General features: G+C 38.3%; 1 long non-coding RNA gene across 1 annotated transcript in view, besides 2 other annotated features; it reads left to right on the top strand.

The window, feature by feature from the left end:
* Positions 1-16,207, top strand: part of LOC107985698 (uncharacterized) — a 375,495-nt gene that overhangs the window by 92,751 nt on the left and 266,537 nt on the right. The window contains exon 4 of the long non-coding RNA XR_002958819.2: positions 4,476-4,630. This is a non-coding gene — a long non-coding RNA (uncharacterized LOC107985698). The remainder of the gene's footprint in view (positions 1-4,475; positions 4,631-16,207) is intronic.
* Positions 6,781-7,280: an enhancer, noted in NCBI's record as "H3K4me1 hESC enhancer chrX:127731639-127732138 (GRCh37/hg19 assembly coordinates)". NCBI's record gives its function as "activates a minimal SCP1, AML or CMV promoter by ChIP-STARR-seq in naive H9 embryonic stem cells {active_cell/tissue: H9 hESC(naive)}" and the evidence as "EXISTENCE:reporter gene assay evidence [ECO:0000049][PMID:30033119]".
* Positions 7,281-7,782: an enhancer, noted in NCBI's record as "H3K4me1 hESC enhancer chrX:127731137-127731638 (GRCh37/hg19 assembly coordinates)". NCBI's record gives its function as "activates a minimal SCP1, AML or CMV promoter by ChIP-STARR-seq in naive H9 embryonic stem cells {active_cell/tissue: H9 hESC(naive)}" and the evidence as "EXISTENCE:reporter gene assay evidence [ECO:0000049][PMID:30033119]".

The raw sequence follows: 16,207 nt of genomic DNA, 5'->3' as shown, positions 1-16,207 counted from the left end.
TTGGCCTTCATTATTTTAAAAATGCATCACGTTTCCCTCATCACTGCCAAGGTGACAAGAAGCAATCCTCCACTTTACAATTGATCAAATTCTCTTTAGTTTGATTTTCACATTCTCTGTTACCCCCGGAGTGGATCTGTTATTTTTATCATGACCCTTCACTCATATTCATTATTGATTTTTTTTCTGAAGGATGCCAAAGCAATTACTGCCTACCTCTTACTTCCTCCATGAAGGTATCTCAAATGGCTTCTTAAGGCCCTACAAAATCAAGGCTTGTTTACCCCAATCACACATCTCACTGCTTTTTCTCAGCTTTTCAAGATAAAAGTTTAATGTGTCTCCTGATTAAAGTGCTTCTGTGATTGTTGCCCTGCACCAAGTTCTATACTTCCCTGTTTTTTCCTGAGAGCTTCTTTTCACAATCCAGGAAGCAACTTGGTGGGGGACAGCCTGGGGTAAACAAAATGATGAGGGAGGGAGGCGTTCATATTGGTGGAATTTTCTAGTTACTTTTCCAAAAACTATTAGAAAGTTATTTATTTCTGTTCTTTTTACTGAAAATCTTGTTTAGATTATATGAATATACATTATTGTCAAAGCATGTCTGCACTAGTGAATCAAATTGAATTGCCCTTTGATGTTTCTTTTGATGAATGGTGTTTTCAAAACTTGGTGCCATTATTCGGAGCTTTATTGATCATTGTCAGTTGAAGATTATAGAATATGTTAGCAGGATCAGACAAAGGTAGGTTTGACTCTTGATTCCATCACTTACTAACTGTGTGACCTTAGCTAAGTCACTTAATTTTTTGGAGGTCTCCGTTTCCTTATCGATGAACGTATACAATTATACACATTCTGCTTTTCTCTTGAGCTTGATGTGGTTTTCAAATCAGGAATGTATTTTATCAATTTCCAAACATTATACACATATATTTGGTAGTTTGGGCACATATTTAGAAGGTATAAAGGAAAAAAATGTGAAAGGTTTTGCTGCTATTCTCTGAAAGACATAATAAATAATGTTTGGTGACCTGGCAGGATTTAGGTATTAAATTAAAGATATTTACAGAAAGTTAGCTTATATTAAAAGAGAAATATGAGAGCTAACAGTAATTTGGTGCTTACTGTATGCCAAACACCATTTTATGTGTTTTATTTTATTTGATAGTCACAACATTAAGTATTATCATTAGATAAATTTTACAGATGACAAGACTTGCTTTAGAACAACCAGATAGTGAGCAGAAGAGGGATAGATTTTAAATTTGGGCTTAATGAAAACCTCATGATTTTAACCACAATGTGATTGGGCCTCATAATCTTGATCTAAGCTTGTTTAATTTTGATGTTTTAGTTTATCTTACAGCTATCTGCAGATGAACAATCATAGTTAACTGGGCTTTACTGTGTGTAGGAAAAGGGGTAAAAAGATCTGGTGGGGGTGCTGGTTCTTAAATCTTAGGAATCACCTTGTTCCCTAGTTTCTGTGTTAACTATAGGAGAAGATTTAACAAAGTAAAAAACAGATACTCAGAGAGAAAACTCTTGAAACAACTTTCGCTCACTTGACTTTAAAATCTTAGAAGTCAGAGAACATATGCATGGTAAAGAGGCTAGCACATAGTTGGTATCCTGTGAGTGTTTGTTGAATTGGACTGAGTTCTTCTCTTTTATTTCTCAGCAGAGTTTTATTTACCCTCAACCCCTGTTGACTGTGGCTAACAGTATAATTAAGCATCTCTGCAGACAGCAGCATAAAATGAGAGTCAAATGTAATGTTTATGTCTACCAAGCAATTCTTGAAAGTTTCTGTACACAAGAGGAATTATATCTGATCCATTGTGAAGCATGATCAAGATATATAATTTACTTTGAAAAAAATCTGTGGTTGATAGATGTTTAGGAAATATAAAGTGGATCAAATTGAAATGAAATTTAGATTAAATTATCTTAGACAGAATGATTTAGAGTAAAACAAGTGGAAGGAATCTTAACAATTCACGTAGGCATCCCCTATAACCTTACCTTTGAATAGCACTGTGCCTAAACTTTAGAAAAATCTCTGATGAGTTACATGATCATTAAGACTAGTTGGGAAGAAATTATATTAGTCTTATTATTAAAGCATTTCCATGTGTACCTACCTTTATTAGTAATGATTTGCAAATGTAATCAAGAATAGAATAACCTAACAGAGCAGTTCTCAATTTTTTTTAATCCCTTTATGCTCTTAAAAATTATAAAGAATCCCAAAGAGTTTTTTCTTACATGGGTTATATCCATCAATATTTACTATATTCGAAATTAAAATGAGAAATTAAAATACGCATTTATTAACTTATTTTAAAATAACAACAAATCCATTATATAATTACCTAAATAACATAATTTTAGGAAAACTAATCTTATTTTCCAAAACAAAAGTATGTCATGAAAAGGATGGGATTGTTTTAGATTTTTTCCAATCTCTTTATCATCTGGCATAACAGAAGGCAGCTATATTATCACATATATTTTTCTGCATTCAATCTGTTGCAATATGTTGTTTCATTTGAAGTACAGGAAGAAAATCCAGTCTCACTCAGATATGTAGTTGGAAAGGGAAGAGATATTTTAATAGCCTTTTCAGATAATAGTGGATATTCTTCTCTGATACTACACTAAAATTCAACAAGTAGTGGTTGTTTAAAGGTTTGTTGCAATATTGCATTGGAAACAAAACCACATTAACTAACTTTTCATACTAATTTTCATTCTTTTCATACTTATTTTCATTAACAAGCATTGGTCTATCTTGCACTCTGAATGGATTTTTAAATAATAACTTATTTGGAAAATTCTAATTCACTGAGTTATACAGATTTTTGAAATGTTGCCTTTTTAAAATCCAATACAAAAATCATACTCAATATCAATGCTGATCTTATCAGAAAAATATTTAATGGTAGAAAACTGTCATGCTTATGATCGCAGATACCAATTTTCCAAAATTTGAATTTTCTCTTGAAAGCTTGAGTTTTACCAGTGTCAGCAAATACGGTCAGTTGTTTTCCTTTAAGTGACAAGCTCACTTCATTAATTTCTCAAGAACATGTCAAGAAATATCTAAGTCTGAATAACCATAGTTTATTAGTTGTTCTTTTAAGTGAAAATAGTGTTCCATGAGAAAAACATCTTTCAGCTTGAACTCTAACAGTAACACAGTGCTTTTTCTTAAAACAACCATCATACTTGAGAATGTGTCAGAAGTGCTTTATGCAGATTTTGCGTTTGTCACACAGAAAATTAACGAAACACATCCTCATGGGTTAAGACATAAAATTAATAATTTTAATGCTTCACCAAGGACATTTTAAAGTTAAACTGGCCTTGTTGTTATTCATTTACTACAAATTAATGGTGGTAAAGAATACAACGACAATAGTAATATGTGTTGCCCCAGCTTTGATTAATGCTAGGCCATTGGCAGTATTATGCTTTATTGCTTTTGCACCATCAAAGCAAATATCAGCACAGCGATAAAAGCAAATAGCAATTATTATTAGAATGATTTTAACTCATGGAACTCCCTGAACCAGTTAACCCCTGGGCTCTGCAGACCATACTTTCAGAATTCCTTACCTAGAGAATGTCTTAAAAGTGCAGATTTTGGGGGGTGAGGGTGGGCAAACTTCCAAGAATTCCAATTCAAGAGTTCAGAAAAGGAATCTAGTAATGTGTATTTTACTAGCACCCCAGGATATTTTGAGAAAGTTGGCCTATGTAACACATTTTGATTAATACAGCACAATAGAAGAGATGCTTTCATTTTGGCTGTGGTTATGTGAAACTGAAATTTATACCTGCTTAAAACAACCAATTATTTAATAAAGTTAGTAACCCTCACTTCTTGTTAAGTATATTTTGTTCGTTCTCTCCAAATTGATAGCCCTTTCTTTGTGTACAATCATTTTCCATCTCTCATCTTCCTTATCTACTTCCTTGTCATTTTCTCTATTTAAACCTGTTTAGACTGTATTTCTCTTTGCTAGGTTGTGAAAGTCAAAATTGGACAGTCATGCCATCCTCTGGTCATGCTTACAGGAAGTCCCTGCTATGTTTTCACATCATAAAATAATCAGGCTGCTCATCCCCTAAGTTCTCCCTTCTCCCTGTTAGCTTTCTAGCCCTGTATCTGCCTCCAGAATTCTGATCATGGCTGCCGTGCCTGGTGTCAAGCCAAAGAATATAAATGAGTCTTGTCCAGGACTTTATAGTTGAATACCCTGGGTTCCTTTCCTTAGGGATGGTACACTGGGGTATGTCTGATAAAGAGGAAAAGAGTAAGCGTGAGTAAGAGAGAAAGCTTGGGCATGAGTACGAGCATTCCTCATGTAATTGGCCTGCTTCTTTTCCCTTTTCTAACAATGAAACCTTGAAAACTAGGACTCAGCCACTCCTTTGATCTGTCTTCATTTTTCCCTTTTCAGCTACCCTATAGTTGGCTGCCTGGCTTCAGAGCTTTTTTTGAACTTGGAAGACTTCAAGCCCCAACTGAGGAATCCTTGATGCTCTGTTGTTTTGTCTTGCTAAAATGTACAAGAAACTTGCACAGCTCTGTCCTTCAGGCTTAAAATCATCCCAGGTGAGAACAAACTGCCTTGGTCTTATTTGCATTTCTGGTTGACCTGTTTACTTTACCCTTTGGGCATTTTCTTCTATTTGAAGGGCTCAGGTTTTATCACCTCCAATACAATTATGCATACCTATTGGTTTCTATGACAGCTGGGTAGTTTTAAGCAAAATTTACTACTCTAAATGTTCACATGGGCAGTATGACACATCAGTGAAACAGACTTTCAGTTGTGGAGTTGGTTTGGTTTAAATCTTGCCTAGGGGTCATAATTTGTGTGATGGTGTTATTAGCATAATTTAGCGAAAAGACTGTTGTGTGTGTGTGTGATAAAAATTGTTACAAGAGCTGCCTTTATCATAGTTGAACAATTTAAAGGGGTATAATTGTAATGTTCAAAATATGTTAAGTCATGAGTGTGAGATCCTGAGATATAATCTGACTTATAAATGTAAATATCCCTGCCATATTCACTGACCCCATTTCATGCATAGATATGTATATATGTACACAGCTGTTTAAACTTTAAAGATCAAACACTAGTGCATGCAAGAAATCCACAGCAAATACTCCTGATTACACTTCTATTTCTAAAACTAATTATATGTCTGTGCAACTAATACCTTTAGAATTTATCAGGTGTCAGCAAATACACATATTTGTCAAGCTTGACCTCTTTGATATGAAATTTAAATCTATTTGTGGCAAAGCAAGCAGTTTTTATAGTAATTATTCCAATCAAGACAGGATCTTTCTTACTTAAACCAACAACAATAATAAAAACCACTTTGGGGACAGAAGCATAAGCTAAAGCATAACTCATGAATTTGCAAATATTTTTTCCATGTAACAGACATTAAACTGAGTTCTATTTTTGTCTGTGACTTCTGCTGACTTTTATGTGACAGAATAATTTATTGTGATATTCATTTCTATATTATTCTCACTGGAGTGGACATATCTTTTTCCTTCTCCATCTAGAAAAAGTAGCTAAAACATTTTGTATCTCTGCTATGGCAGAGGCAGAAGTGGAAGACTTAAATTTTGATTCACCAAAGCAGTAGTTTCCAGAAATCCAGAAGGTGACCCCATCCAGGCCTTTTGATTTTTAAAAACATAGTCTTTTGGAAGGATTATTCACAAAGAGGAGAGTTCTAAGATATGGAAGAGGTGGAATAAGGCAACCTGGAGATTGGAGTATTTGGGGAAGGCTTTCCTGAGTCTTTTTTTTTAAGGTTTCCTGGAGAACAGAAAAATGGAAACTCACTTACAAGGCTCCAGATGGGGAATTACTAAGGAATGCCTGTAGGAGCTTGACCATATGTATCATGGACTTGAGAGAATAATGGTAAGGCTCCTTGTGAATGAATCTTGGGCCAGTTAGGCAAACCATTTTAAGAGGCATTCTGAATCCCATTAGAGTGGAATGACTAAATGAACTTGAAGGATCTGCTTGATAGAATAATAATACTGTCTAAAAAACCCTTAAAATACAATAACCATCATATAATAAGGACTTGCATCACTCCTCAATTTTGAGTACCACTTAAGCCTGTGATTCTGGTATAATCCTCTGGAGGGTAGGGGAGATGTCTCTAAAATGACTAGCATCCTGGTGGGTACAGAGTTTGGGCAGATTTCACAATCTGGAAATGTAATAGAGTAAGATATTAAATCCAAATGTTGTGGAATAAAAATCACACACACACACACACACACACACACACACACACACACACACACACACTTCATCTATAAAAACTATAATCAATGAGTGGTGGCATAATTCTTATTAGTCTTTTGATTTCCCCAATTTATGGTAGCTTGCTTATTATTATTATTATTATTTTTGAGACAGAGTCTCGCTCTCTAGCCCAGGCTGGAGTGCAGTGGCATGATCTTGGCTCACTGCAAGCTCCACCTTCCGGGTTCATGCCATTCTCCTGCCTCAGCCTCCCAAATAGCTGGGACTACAGGCGCCCACCAACACGTCTGGCTAATTTTTTGTAGTTTTAGTAGAGACGGGGTTTCACCATGCTAGCCAGGATGGTCTCGATCTCCTGACTTCGTGTTGCGCCTGCCTTGGCCTCCCAAAATGTTGGGATTACAGGCGTGAGCCACAACGCCCGGCCTGGTAGCTTGCTTATTATTAAAGTAAAACACTAATGATCATTATGTGCAATCCTGCTACTGAAAAAAAGTACTTCTGGCCTATTTGTAATACTGTGATGGCATTTTCATTCGTTTTTATTTTCTGAGCATCTATTGAATGATACAGGTAAGCAAATTAAAGTCCTTGCAAAAGATCGGTGGGTGTTGAGGACTGACTAGGCAGCTGGCATGACTACGTAGAAGAAGGAAGAGCAGGGTGGTGTGGCAGCCACCTGAAAGCCACACAGGACAGGGGAGCCCCCACTCCCAGTCAAGGTGGCCAGTGAGTGAGCATGCTACCCAGCCTGGGGAACTGTGCTTTTCCACGGAACTATGCAACCCATAGATCGCAAGATCCCACTTGTGAGCCCACACCACTAGGGCCTTGGGTCCCAACCGCAGAGCCACGCTGATTCTCAACAGATTCTCAACAGCCACTCTGCTGGAATATGCCTAAGCCTGCTGAGCTACCAGGCGGAGAGGTGGCCATCACCACTGCTGCCACTGACTGTTGTCTAAGCCATCTGAGCTCCCTGGGGGAGGGGCAGCAACCAACACTGCAGCTTCTAGCTACCTAAGAAACGAAGCTCCTGGCGGGGAAGGCAAGGGGAAGGGAAGGTCGGCAGCCATTACTATAGCCCCAGGTCCTGCTTTTTGCCTGCTGGAGCCAGGGCCAGACTGCTTGGTCACAAGAGGTATTCCCCACAGTGCAGCACACAGGCTGTGGCCAGATAGCCTCTTCAGGCCTGACCCTGACCCATCCCTCCCTCCTAACTTGGCAGGGCCTCCCTGCAGAAACTCCAACAACTCCAGACAGGGGCTCAGGGAAAGAACTCTGATCTTCCTGGGCCTGAGCCCCTAGGGGGAGGGGTGGCCATAGTCTCCGCGGACAAGCAGACATAGTCTTTCCTCCTGCTAGCTCTGAGGAATCTGGGCATCCCAGATGAGTGGGTTACCCCACAGCACAGCACACCCCCTCCACCAAAGGACAGCTAAAGTACTTCATTAAATGGGTCCTGGTTCCCATGCCCCCTAACTGGGTGAGACACCCCAACAGGGGTCACCAGACACCCTGTACAGGAGCATTCCTACTGGCTTTAGGTGGGAGCCCCTCAAGGTCAGAGATCCCAGAGAGCAGGCACCCAACTTTGCTCTTCTCCAGCCTCCTTAAGTGACATCTCCAGCTGCGGGAGTGAACCAGATGAGTAGGGCCCCAGCAAACTGCAGCAGCCCTACAGAACAGGGACCAGACTATTGAGAGAAAAACAAACAGAAAGTAACAACAGCATCAACAACAAAAAAATCCCTACAAAAACCTCATCCAAGGGTCAGCAGCCTCAAAGACTGAAACTAGACAAACTCATGAAGATGAAAAAATCAATGAAAAAAATGCTGAAAACCCAAAAGGCCAGAGTGCCTTTTCTCTTCCAAATGATCACAACATCTCTCAAGCAAGGACACAGAACTGGACGGAGGATGAGATGGATGAATTGACAGAAGTAGGCTTCAGAATGTGGGTAATAACAAACTTGGCTGAGATAAAGGAGCACGTTCTAACCCAATGCAAAGAAGCTAAGAACCGTGATAAAAAGTTACAGGAGCTACTGTCTAGAAAAACCAGTTTAGAGAGGAACATAAATGACCTGATGGAGCTGAAAAACACAGCACGATAACTTTATGAAGCATACACAAATATCAATAGCTGAATCAATCAAGCAGAAGAAAGAATATCAGAGATTGAAGACTATCTTGCTGAAATAAGGCAGGCAGACAAGATTAGAGAAGAAAGAATGAAAAGAAATGAAACAAACCTCCAAGAACCATAGGACTATGTAAAAAGACCAAACCTGCGACTGATTATAGTACCTGAAAGAGACAGGGAGAATGGAACCAGGTTGGATAACACACCTAGGATATCATCCAGGAGAAATTCCCCAACCTAGCAAGACAGGGCAGCATGCAAATTCAGGAAATACAGAGAACCACGTAAGATACTCCGCGAGAAGATAAACCCAAGACACATAATTATCAGATTCTCCAAGGTCGAAATGCAGAAAAAAATGTTAAGGGCAGCCAGAGAGAAAGGCCAGGGGACCTACAAAGGGAAGCCCATCAGACTAACAGTGGATCTCTCAGCAGAAACCCTACAAGCCAGAAGAGAGTGGGGGCCAATATTCAACATTCTTAAAAGAATTTTCAACTCAGAATTTCATATATGGTCAAACGAAGCTTCATAAGTGAAGGATAAATAAAATCCTTTTCGGACAAGCAAATGCTGAGGGAATTTGTCACCACCAGGCCTGCCTTGAAAGAGCTCCTGAAGGAAACATTAAATATGGAAAGGAAAAACCAGTACCAGCCACTGCAAAAACATACCAAAATGCAAAGACCAATGACACTATGAAGAAACTGCACCAACTAGTGTGCCAAATAAGCAGCTAGCATCAAGATGACAGGATCAAATTAACACATAACAATGTTAACCTTAAATGCAAGTGGGCTAAATTCCCCAATTAGAGACACAGACTGACAAATTGGATAGAGTCAAGACCCACCTGTGTAGTGTATTCAAGAGACCCATCTCACGTGCAAGGACACACACAGTTTCAAAATAAAGGGATGGAAGAAAATTTACCAAGCAAATAGCAGAAAAAAGCAGGGGTTGCAATCTTAGTCTCTGACAAAACAGACTTTAAACCAACAAAAATCCAAAAAGACAAAGAAGGGCATTACATAATAGCAAAGGAATCAATTCAACAAAAAAAGCTAACTATCCTAAATATATATATGTACCCAATACAGGAACACCCAGATTCATAAAACAAATTATTAGAGACCTACAAAGAGACTTAGAATCCCACACAATAATAGTGGGAGACATTAACACCCCACTGTCAATATTAGATCAATGAGACAGAAAATTAACAAGGATATTCAGGACTTGAACTCAGGTCTGGATCAAGTGGACCTAATAGATATCTACAGAACTCTTCACCCCCAAACAACAGACTATATATTCTCATAACCACATGGCACTTACTCTAAAATTGACCACATAATTGATAGTAAAATACTCCTCAGCAAAGGCAAAAGATCTGAAATCATAAAAGTCTCTCAGACCACAGTGGAATCAAATTAGAACTCAGGGTTAAGAAACTCACTCAAAACCATACAATTACATGGAAATTGAACAACCTGCTCCTGAATGACTCCTGGGTAAATAATGAAAATAAGACAGAAATCAAGAAATTCTTTGAAACCAATGAGAACAAAGAGACAACATACCAGAATCTCGGGGATGCAGCTAAAGCAGTGTTAAGAGAGAAATTTATAGCACTGAATGCCCACATCAGAAAGCTAGGAATATCTCAAATCAACACCCTAACATCACAACTAAAAGAACTAGAGAAGCAAGAGGAAGCAAATCCAAAAGCTGACAGAAGACAGGAAATAACTAAGATCAGAGTGGAACTGAAGGAGATAGAGACAAAAAAAAAACAAATAAATAATAAAACCTTTAAAAAAATCAATGAAATGGTTTTTTGAATATATTAATAAAATAGCAAGATAGACTAATAAAGAAGTAAAGAGAGGCCGGGCGCGGTGGCTCACGCCTGTAATCCCAGCACTTTGGGAGGCTGAGGTGGGCAGATCACGCGGTCAGGAGATCAAGACCATCCTGGCTAACACGGTGAAACCCTGTCTCCACTAAAAATACAAAAAATTAGCCGGGCGTGGTGGCGGGCGCCTGTAGTTCCCAGCTACTGGAGAGGCTGAGGCAGGAGAATGGCGAGAACCCGGGAGGCAGAGCTTGCAGTGAGCCGAGATTGTGCCACTGAACTCCAGCCTGGGAGACAGCGAAACTCTGTCTCAAAAAAAGGAAGTAAAGAGAGGAGAATCAAATAGACACAATAAAAAATGATAAAGGGGATATCACCACTGACCCCACAGGAATACAAACTATCATCAGAGAATACTATAAGCACCTCTACACAAATAAACTAGAAAATCTAGAAGAAATGTATAAATTTCTGGAAACATACACCCTCCCAAGACTAGACCAGAAAGAAGTCGAACACTTGAATAGAACAATAACAAGTTCTGAAGTTGAGGCAGTACTGAATAGACTACTAGCCCAAAAAAGCCCAGGACTAGACAGATTCACAGCCAAATTCTACGAAAGGTACAAAAAAGAGCTGCTGCCATTCCTTCTGAAACTGTTCCAAACAACTAAAAAGGAGGGACTCCTCCCTAACTCATTTTATGAGGCCAGCATCATCCTAATACCAAAACCTGGCAAATATGACATAAAAATAGAAAACTTTAGGCCAATATCCCTGATGGACATCAATGCAGAAATCCTCAATAAAATACTGGCAAACCAAATGCAGCAGCACATCAAAAAGCTTGTCCACCACTAACAAGTTGGCTTCATCCCTGGGATGCAAGGCTTGTTCAACATATGCAAATCAATAAACGTAATCCATCACATAAACAGAACCAATGACAAACACCACGTGATCATCTCAATAGATGCAGAAAAGGCCTTTGATAAAAATTCAACATCCTTTCCTGTTAAAAACTCCTATAAACTAGGTATTGATGGAACATATCTCAAAATAATAAGAGCTATTTATTACAAACCCACAACCAATATCATACTGAATGGGCATAAGCTGGAAGCATTCCCTTTGAAAACTGTCACAAGACAACGATGTTCTCTCTCACCGCTCCTATTCAACATAGTATTGGAAGTTCTGGCCAGGGCAATCAGCAAGAGAGAGAAATAAAGGATATTCAAATAGGAAGACAGGAAGTCAAATTGTCTGTTTGCAGACAACATGATTCTATATTTAGGAAACTTCATCGTCTCAGCCCAAAAGCTCCTTAAGCTGATAAGCAACTTCAGCAAAGTCTCAGGATACAAAATCAATGTACAAAAATCACAAGCGGGCTGGGTGCGGTGGCTCACGCCTGTAATCCCAGCACGTTGGGAGGCCGAAGTGGGTGGATCACTAGGTCAGAAGTTCGAGACCAGCCTGGCCAACATGGTGAAACCCTGTCTCTTCTAAAGATACAAAAAATTAGCTGGGTGTGGTGGTGGGCACCTGTAATCCCAGCTACTTGGGAGACTGAGGCAAGAGAATTGCTTGAACCCAGGAGTCATAGGTTGCAGTGAGCTGAGATTGTGCCATTGCACTCCAGCCTGGGCAACAGGGCGAGACTCTGTCTCACAAAAAAAAAAAAAAAAAAAATCACAAGCATTCATATACACCAACAAGAGACAAGCAGAGAGCCAAATCATGAATCAACTCCCATTCACAATTGCTAGAAAAAGAACAAAATACTTAGGAATACAGCTAACAAGGGACATGGAGGACCTCTTCAAGGAGAAACTACAAACCACTGCTCAAGGAAATAAGAGAGGACACAAACAAATGGAAAAACAGTCCATCCTCATGGATAGGAAGAGTCAATATTGTGAAAATGGCTATACTCCCCAAAGTAATTTAAAGATTCAATGCTATTCCCATCAAACTACCATTGACATTCTTCACTGAATTAGAAAAAATCAGTTTAAATTTTATATGGAATCAAAGAAGACCCCGTTTAGTCAAGACAATCCTAACCAAAAAGAACAAAGCTGGAGGCATCATGCTACCTGACTTCAAACTATGCTACAATGCTATAGTAACCAAAACAGCATGGTAGTGGTGCCAAAACAGATATATAGACCAATGGAACAGAACAGAGACCTCAGAGATAACACCACACATCTACAACCATCGGATCTTCCACAAACCTGACAAAAACAAGCAATGGGGGAAAGGCTCTCCTATTCAATAAATGGTGCTGGGAAAACTGGCTAGCCATATGCAGAAAACTGAAACTGGAACCCTTCCTTACATCTTATACAAAAATTAACTCAAGATGGATTAAAGACGTAAATGTAAAACCCCAAACCATAAAAACCCTAGAAGAAAACCTAATCAGTACTATCCAGGACATAGGCATGGGCAAAAATTTTATGATGAAATTGCCAAAAGCAATTGCAACAAAAGGTAAAATTGACAATGGGATCTAATTAAACGAAGAGCTTCTGCACAGCAAAAGAAACTATCATCAGGGTGAACAGGCAACCTGCAGAATGGGAAAAAATTTTTGCAATCGAATTTACATGGAACTTAAATGAATGTACAAGAAAAAATCAAAGAACCCTATCAAAAAAGTGGGCAAAAGAAATGAACAGACACCTCTCAAAAGAAGACATTTATGTGGCCAACAAACATACGAAAAAAGTTCATCATCACTGAGCATTAGAGAAATGCAAATAGAAACCACAATGAGATATGATCTTACACCAGTCAGAATGGCAATTATTAAAAAGTCAAAAAACAACTGATGCTGGCAAGGCTGTGGAGAAATAGAAACATTTTTACACTGTTGATGGGAATGTAAATTAGTTCAACCATTGTAGAAGACAGTGTGGCTATTCCTCAGACATCTAGAACCAGAAATACCATTTGATTCAGCAATCCCATTACTAGGTATATACCCAAAGGAATATACATCATTCTATTATAAAGATACATGCACACGTATGTTTATTGCAGCACTATTCACATAGCAAAGACATGGAACCAACCTAAATACCCACCAATGATAGGCTAGATAAAGAAAATGTGGTGCATATACACCATGAAATATTATGTAGTCATTAAAAGGAATAAGATCATGTCCTTTGCAGGAACTTGGATGAAGCTGGAAGCCATCATCCTCAGCAAACTTACACAGGAACAGAAACACCGCATGTTTTCACTCGTAAGTGGGTGCTGAATAATGATGAACACATGGACACAGGGAGGAGAACAATACACGCCAGGGCCTGTCGGGGGAGTTGAGGGGAGGGGGAGCTTCAGGACCAATAGCTAATGCACACGGGGCTTAATACCTAGATGACAGGTTGATAGGTGCAGCAAACCACCATGGCACATGATTACCTATATAACAAACCTGCATGTTCTGCAAATGTATCCCGGAACTTAAAATAAAAGAGAAAAGAAAAGAAAAAAGATTGGTGTTAAGGAGGATAGTTATCTTGTACATTAAATATTTATTATGATTTAGATTTTGTGGAGAATAGAATTACAGAAATCTGAGACTAAAAAGCAAATGGGGCTGTAATTTATATCCCATACTGTTGTCCAAAGGTGTACTTGTTCTGATATTTCCTGAGATAATAAGGTGACTTTTATATTCTATCCTTTTCGTCTATGGCTTATGGGATTGGTCACTACATACTGTAAAATTTGTGGTGTGTGTAGATAGAAAACTGGCCACCTGGAAAACCTATTTGAACTTAGTAGAAAATCGCTCAGTTCATAACATGGATATAGGAAGCTCTAAGGAAAAGATTCCCCATCTAGTGTAGTTTATTTTGTAGACTGTTACTTGCCTTTCACATAATAAACCCAAAGCTGAATACTTTGAGTGTCTACATTTCCATGATTAGGCCATGTAGTAAGTGGTAAATTATATATTTTCTATACACATGCATCTCCAATTCAGGTAAAAAATAACAGGAGATAGAGGTCATACCTCTTTCCACCTCTTTGCCCATGTTCAAATTATCAGACATTGATTCAGGAAAGGCAAAACAACAAAACCAATAATGGGTGATTTAATTCCTAGTAGAGGACTAATAGTAGAAAAATAGAATTAAATAATGAAAGATCTTGAATTCTGACTCAGGAGTTTATATTTAGTCTTTTTAGGCACTGGGGAGACACCAGAGTTTATTGAGATGAGGTGTGACAAAATGGAAATGGTACTGTAGGGAATAATCCGGAAGCAGTGTGTAGGATATATTGGAACGTGAAAGATATGGTAGTATAGGAAGACTAATTGGAAGTTACTACTAAAATCCAGTTTAAAAATTATTATTTGTCTGGATAATTTTTTTTTTTTGAGACAGAGTCTCTCTCTGTTGCCCAGACTGGAGTGCAGTGGCGCAGTCTCAGCTCACTGCAAGCTCTGCCTCCTGGGTTCACACCATTCTCCTGCCTCAGCCTCCTCAGTAGCTGGGACTATAGGCGCTCGCCACCACACCTGGCTAATTTTTTTGTATTTTCAGTAGAGACGGGGTTTCACCGTGTTAGCCAGGATGGTCTTGATCTCCTGACCTCGTGATCCGCCCGCCTCGGCCTCCCAAAGTGCTGGGATTACAGGCGTGAGCCACCGCACCCGGCCTGCCTTGTCTGGATAATTTATAACTTGTAATACTGAATTAAAATACATACCACTGTTTGCTGCTCAATTATTTGTCCCTCTCAATTATAAGTTTTAAATATGTTTTACTTTTATACAATTACCTGAATGCGTGACTTCCCATGTCAAAACACTCACAATAACAGATGATAAACAAAGAACATGCTATAATTATTCATTTAAAAAAGCATTTGAACTAAAGTGTGTTTCATTAATAAAGAAAAATTCCCTTGCAATCAAACATAAATTTAAAAAATTATCTAATACAATAAATTAGATTTGAGTGAGAGGTAGACTACATTAATTCCATGTAACAATAAATGGAGTTGATAGAATGTCACCCTCAGATATTAGAAGTGAAATTTTTAATTTTGATTTTAGATTTAGCCTGAACCAGGGATGCTTGGAATTTGATGTCAGGAGGTCAGTATTCTAAGCCCAGTTCCATTACTAGCGTACTATGAAGTTACACGGTAAGCACAGAAATAACGTGATTTCCAAAGGCATTAATTTTGGCATTTAGAAAAAAATATTAAGGAGTAAATTGTTATATCCAAGATAACAGAACTAATAACTCTTGTTTAGCTTTGGCATGTTTGTTTGGGTCACTTTCATCTCCAATTCACACCTAGAATGGGTCGGATAAATACTTACTGAATGAATAAATAAAAATGAAACAATAGCATAATTGTAAGCTTCATGAGAGCAGGGACCATATCTAGTTTATTCACTCCTGTATCCTCAGCACTAAGCATAGTGTTCTGTACCTTGTAGAAGACTTAATCAATCATAAATCCCTTTGAAGAAAATCAGCAAATTAGTACCTTTAAAAAAATTAAATTCAAGATTATATCTCACTTGTGGGATATCTTTTTAATGAGATTGACTTTTTCAAGTCGATTATTTCTTTTTCATCAGTAACCAAACTGAAATCGCTAAGACAGATTGGTCATTGCAGGGTATTCAGGAGCAATAGGCTGCTATATAGATCGGTGACTTGTGACATTAGAAGACATATAAGAGCTCCTGAAAGTTAATAGGCTACCTAACTGTTCTAGTTTTCATCTGTAATATTGTTCTAAAAGCCCTATTGGGAGTTATGGATTTGGGCTTGAGGACTCAGCGATTTTTGGATTTAGAGCTGTACAACTCTAGTTATTTTCAAGACTA

The sequence above is a fragment of the Homo sapiens genome, chromosome X (genome assembly GCF_000001405.40).
Source record: "Homo sapiens chromosome X, GRCh38.p14 Primary Assembly".
NCBI classification, from domain to species: domain Eukaryota; kingdom Metazoa; phylum Chordata; class Mammalia; order Primates; family Hominidae; genus Homo; species Homo sapiens.
The sequence above is the reverse complement of the archived record's forward strand: the minus strand, read 5'-3'. Positions and strand labels throughout refer to the sequence as shown.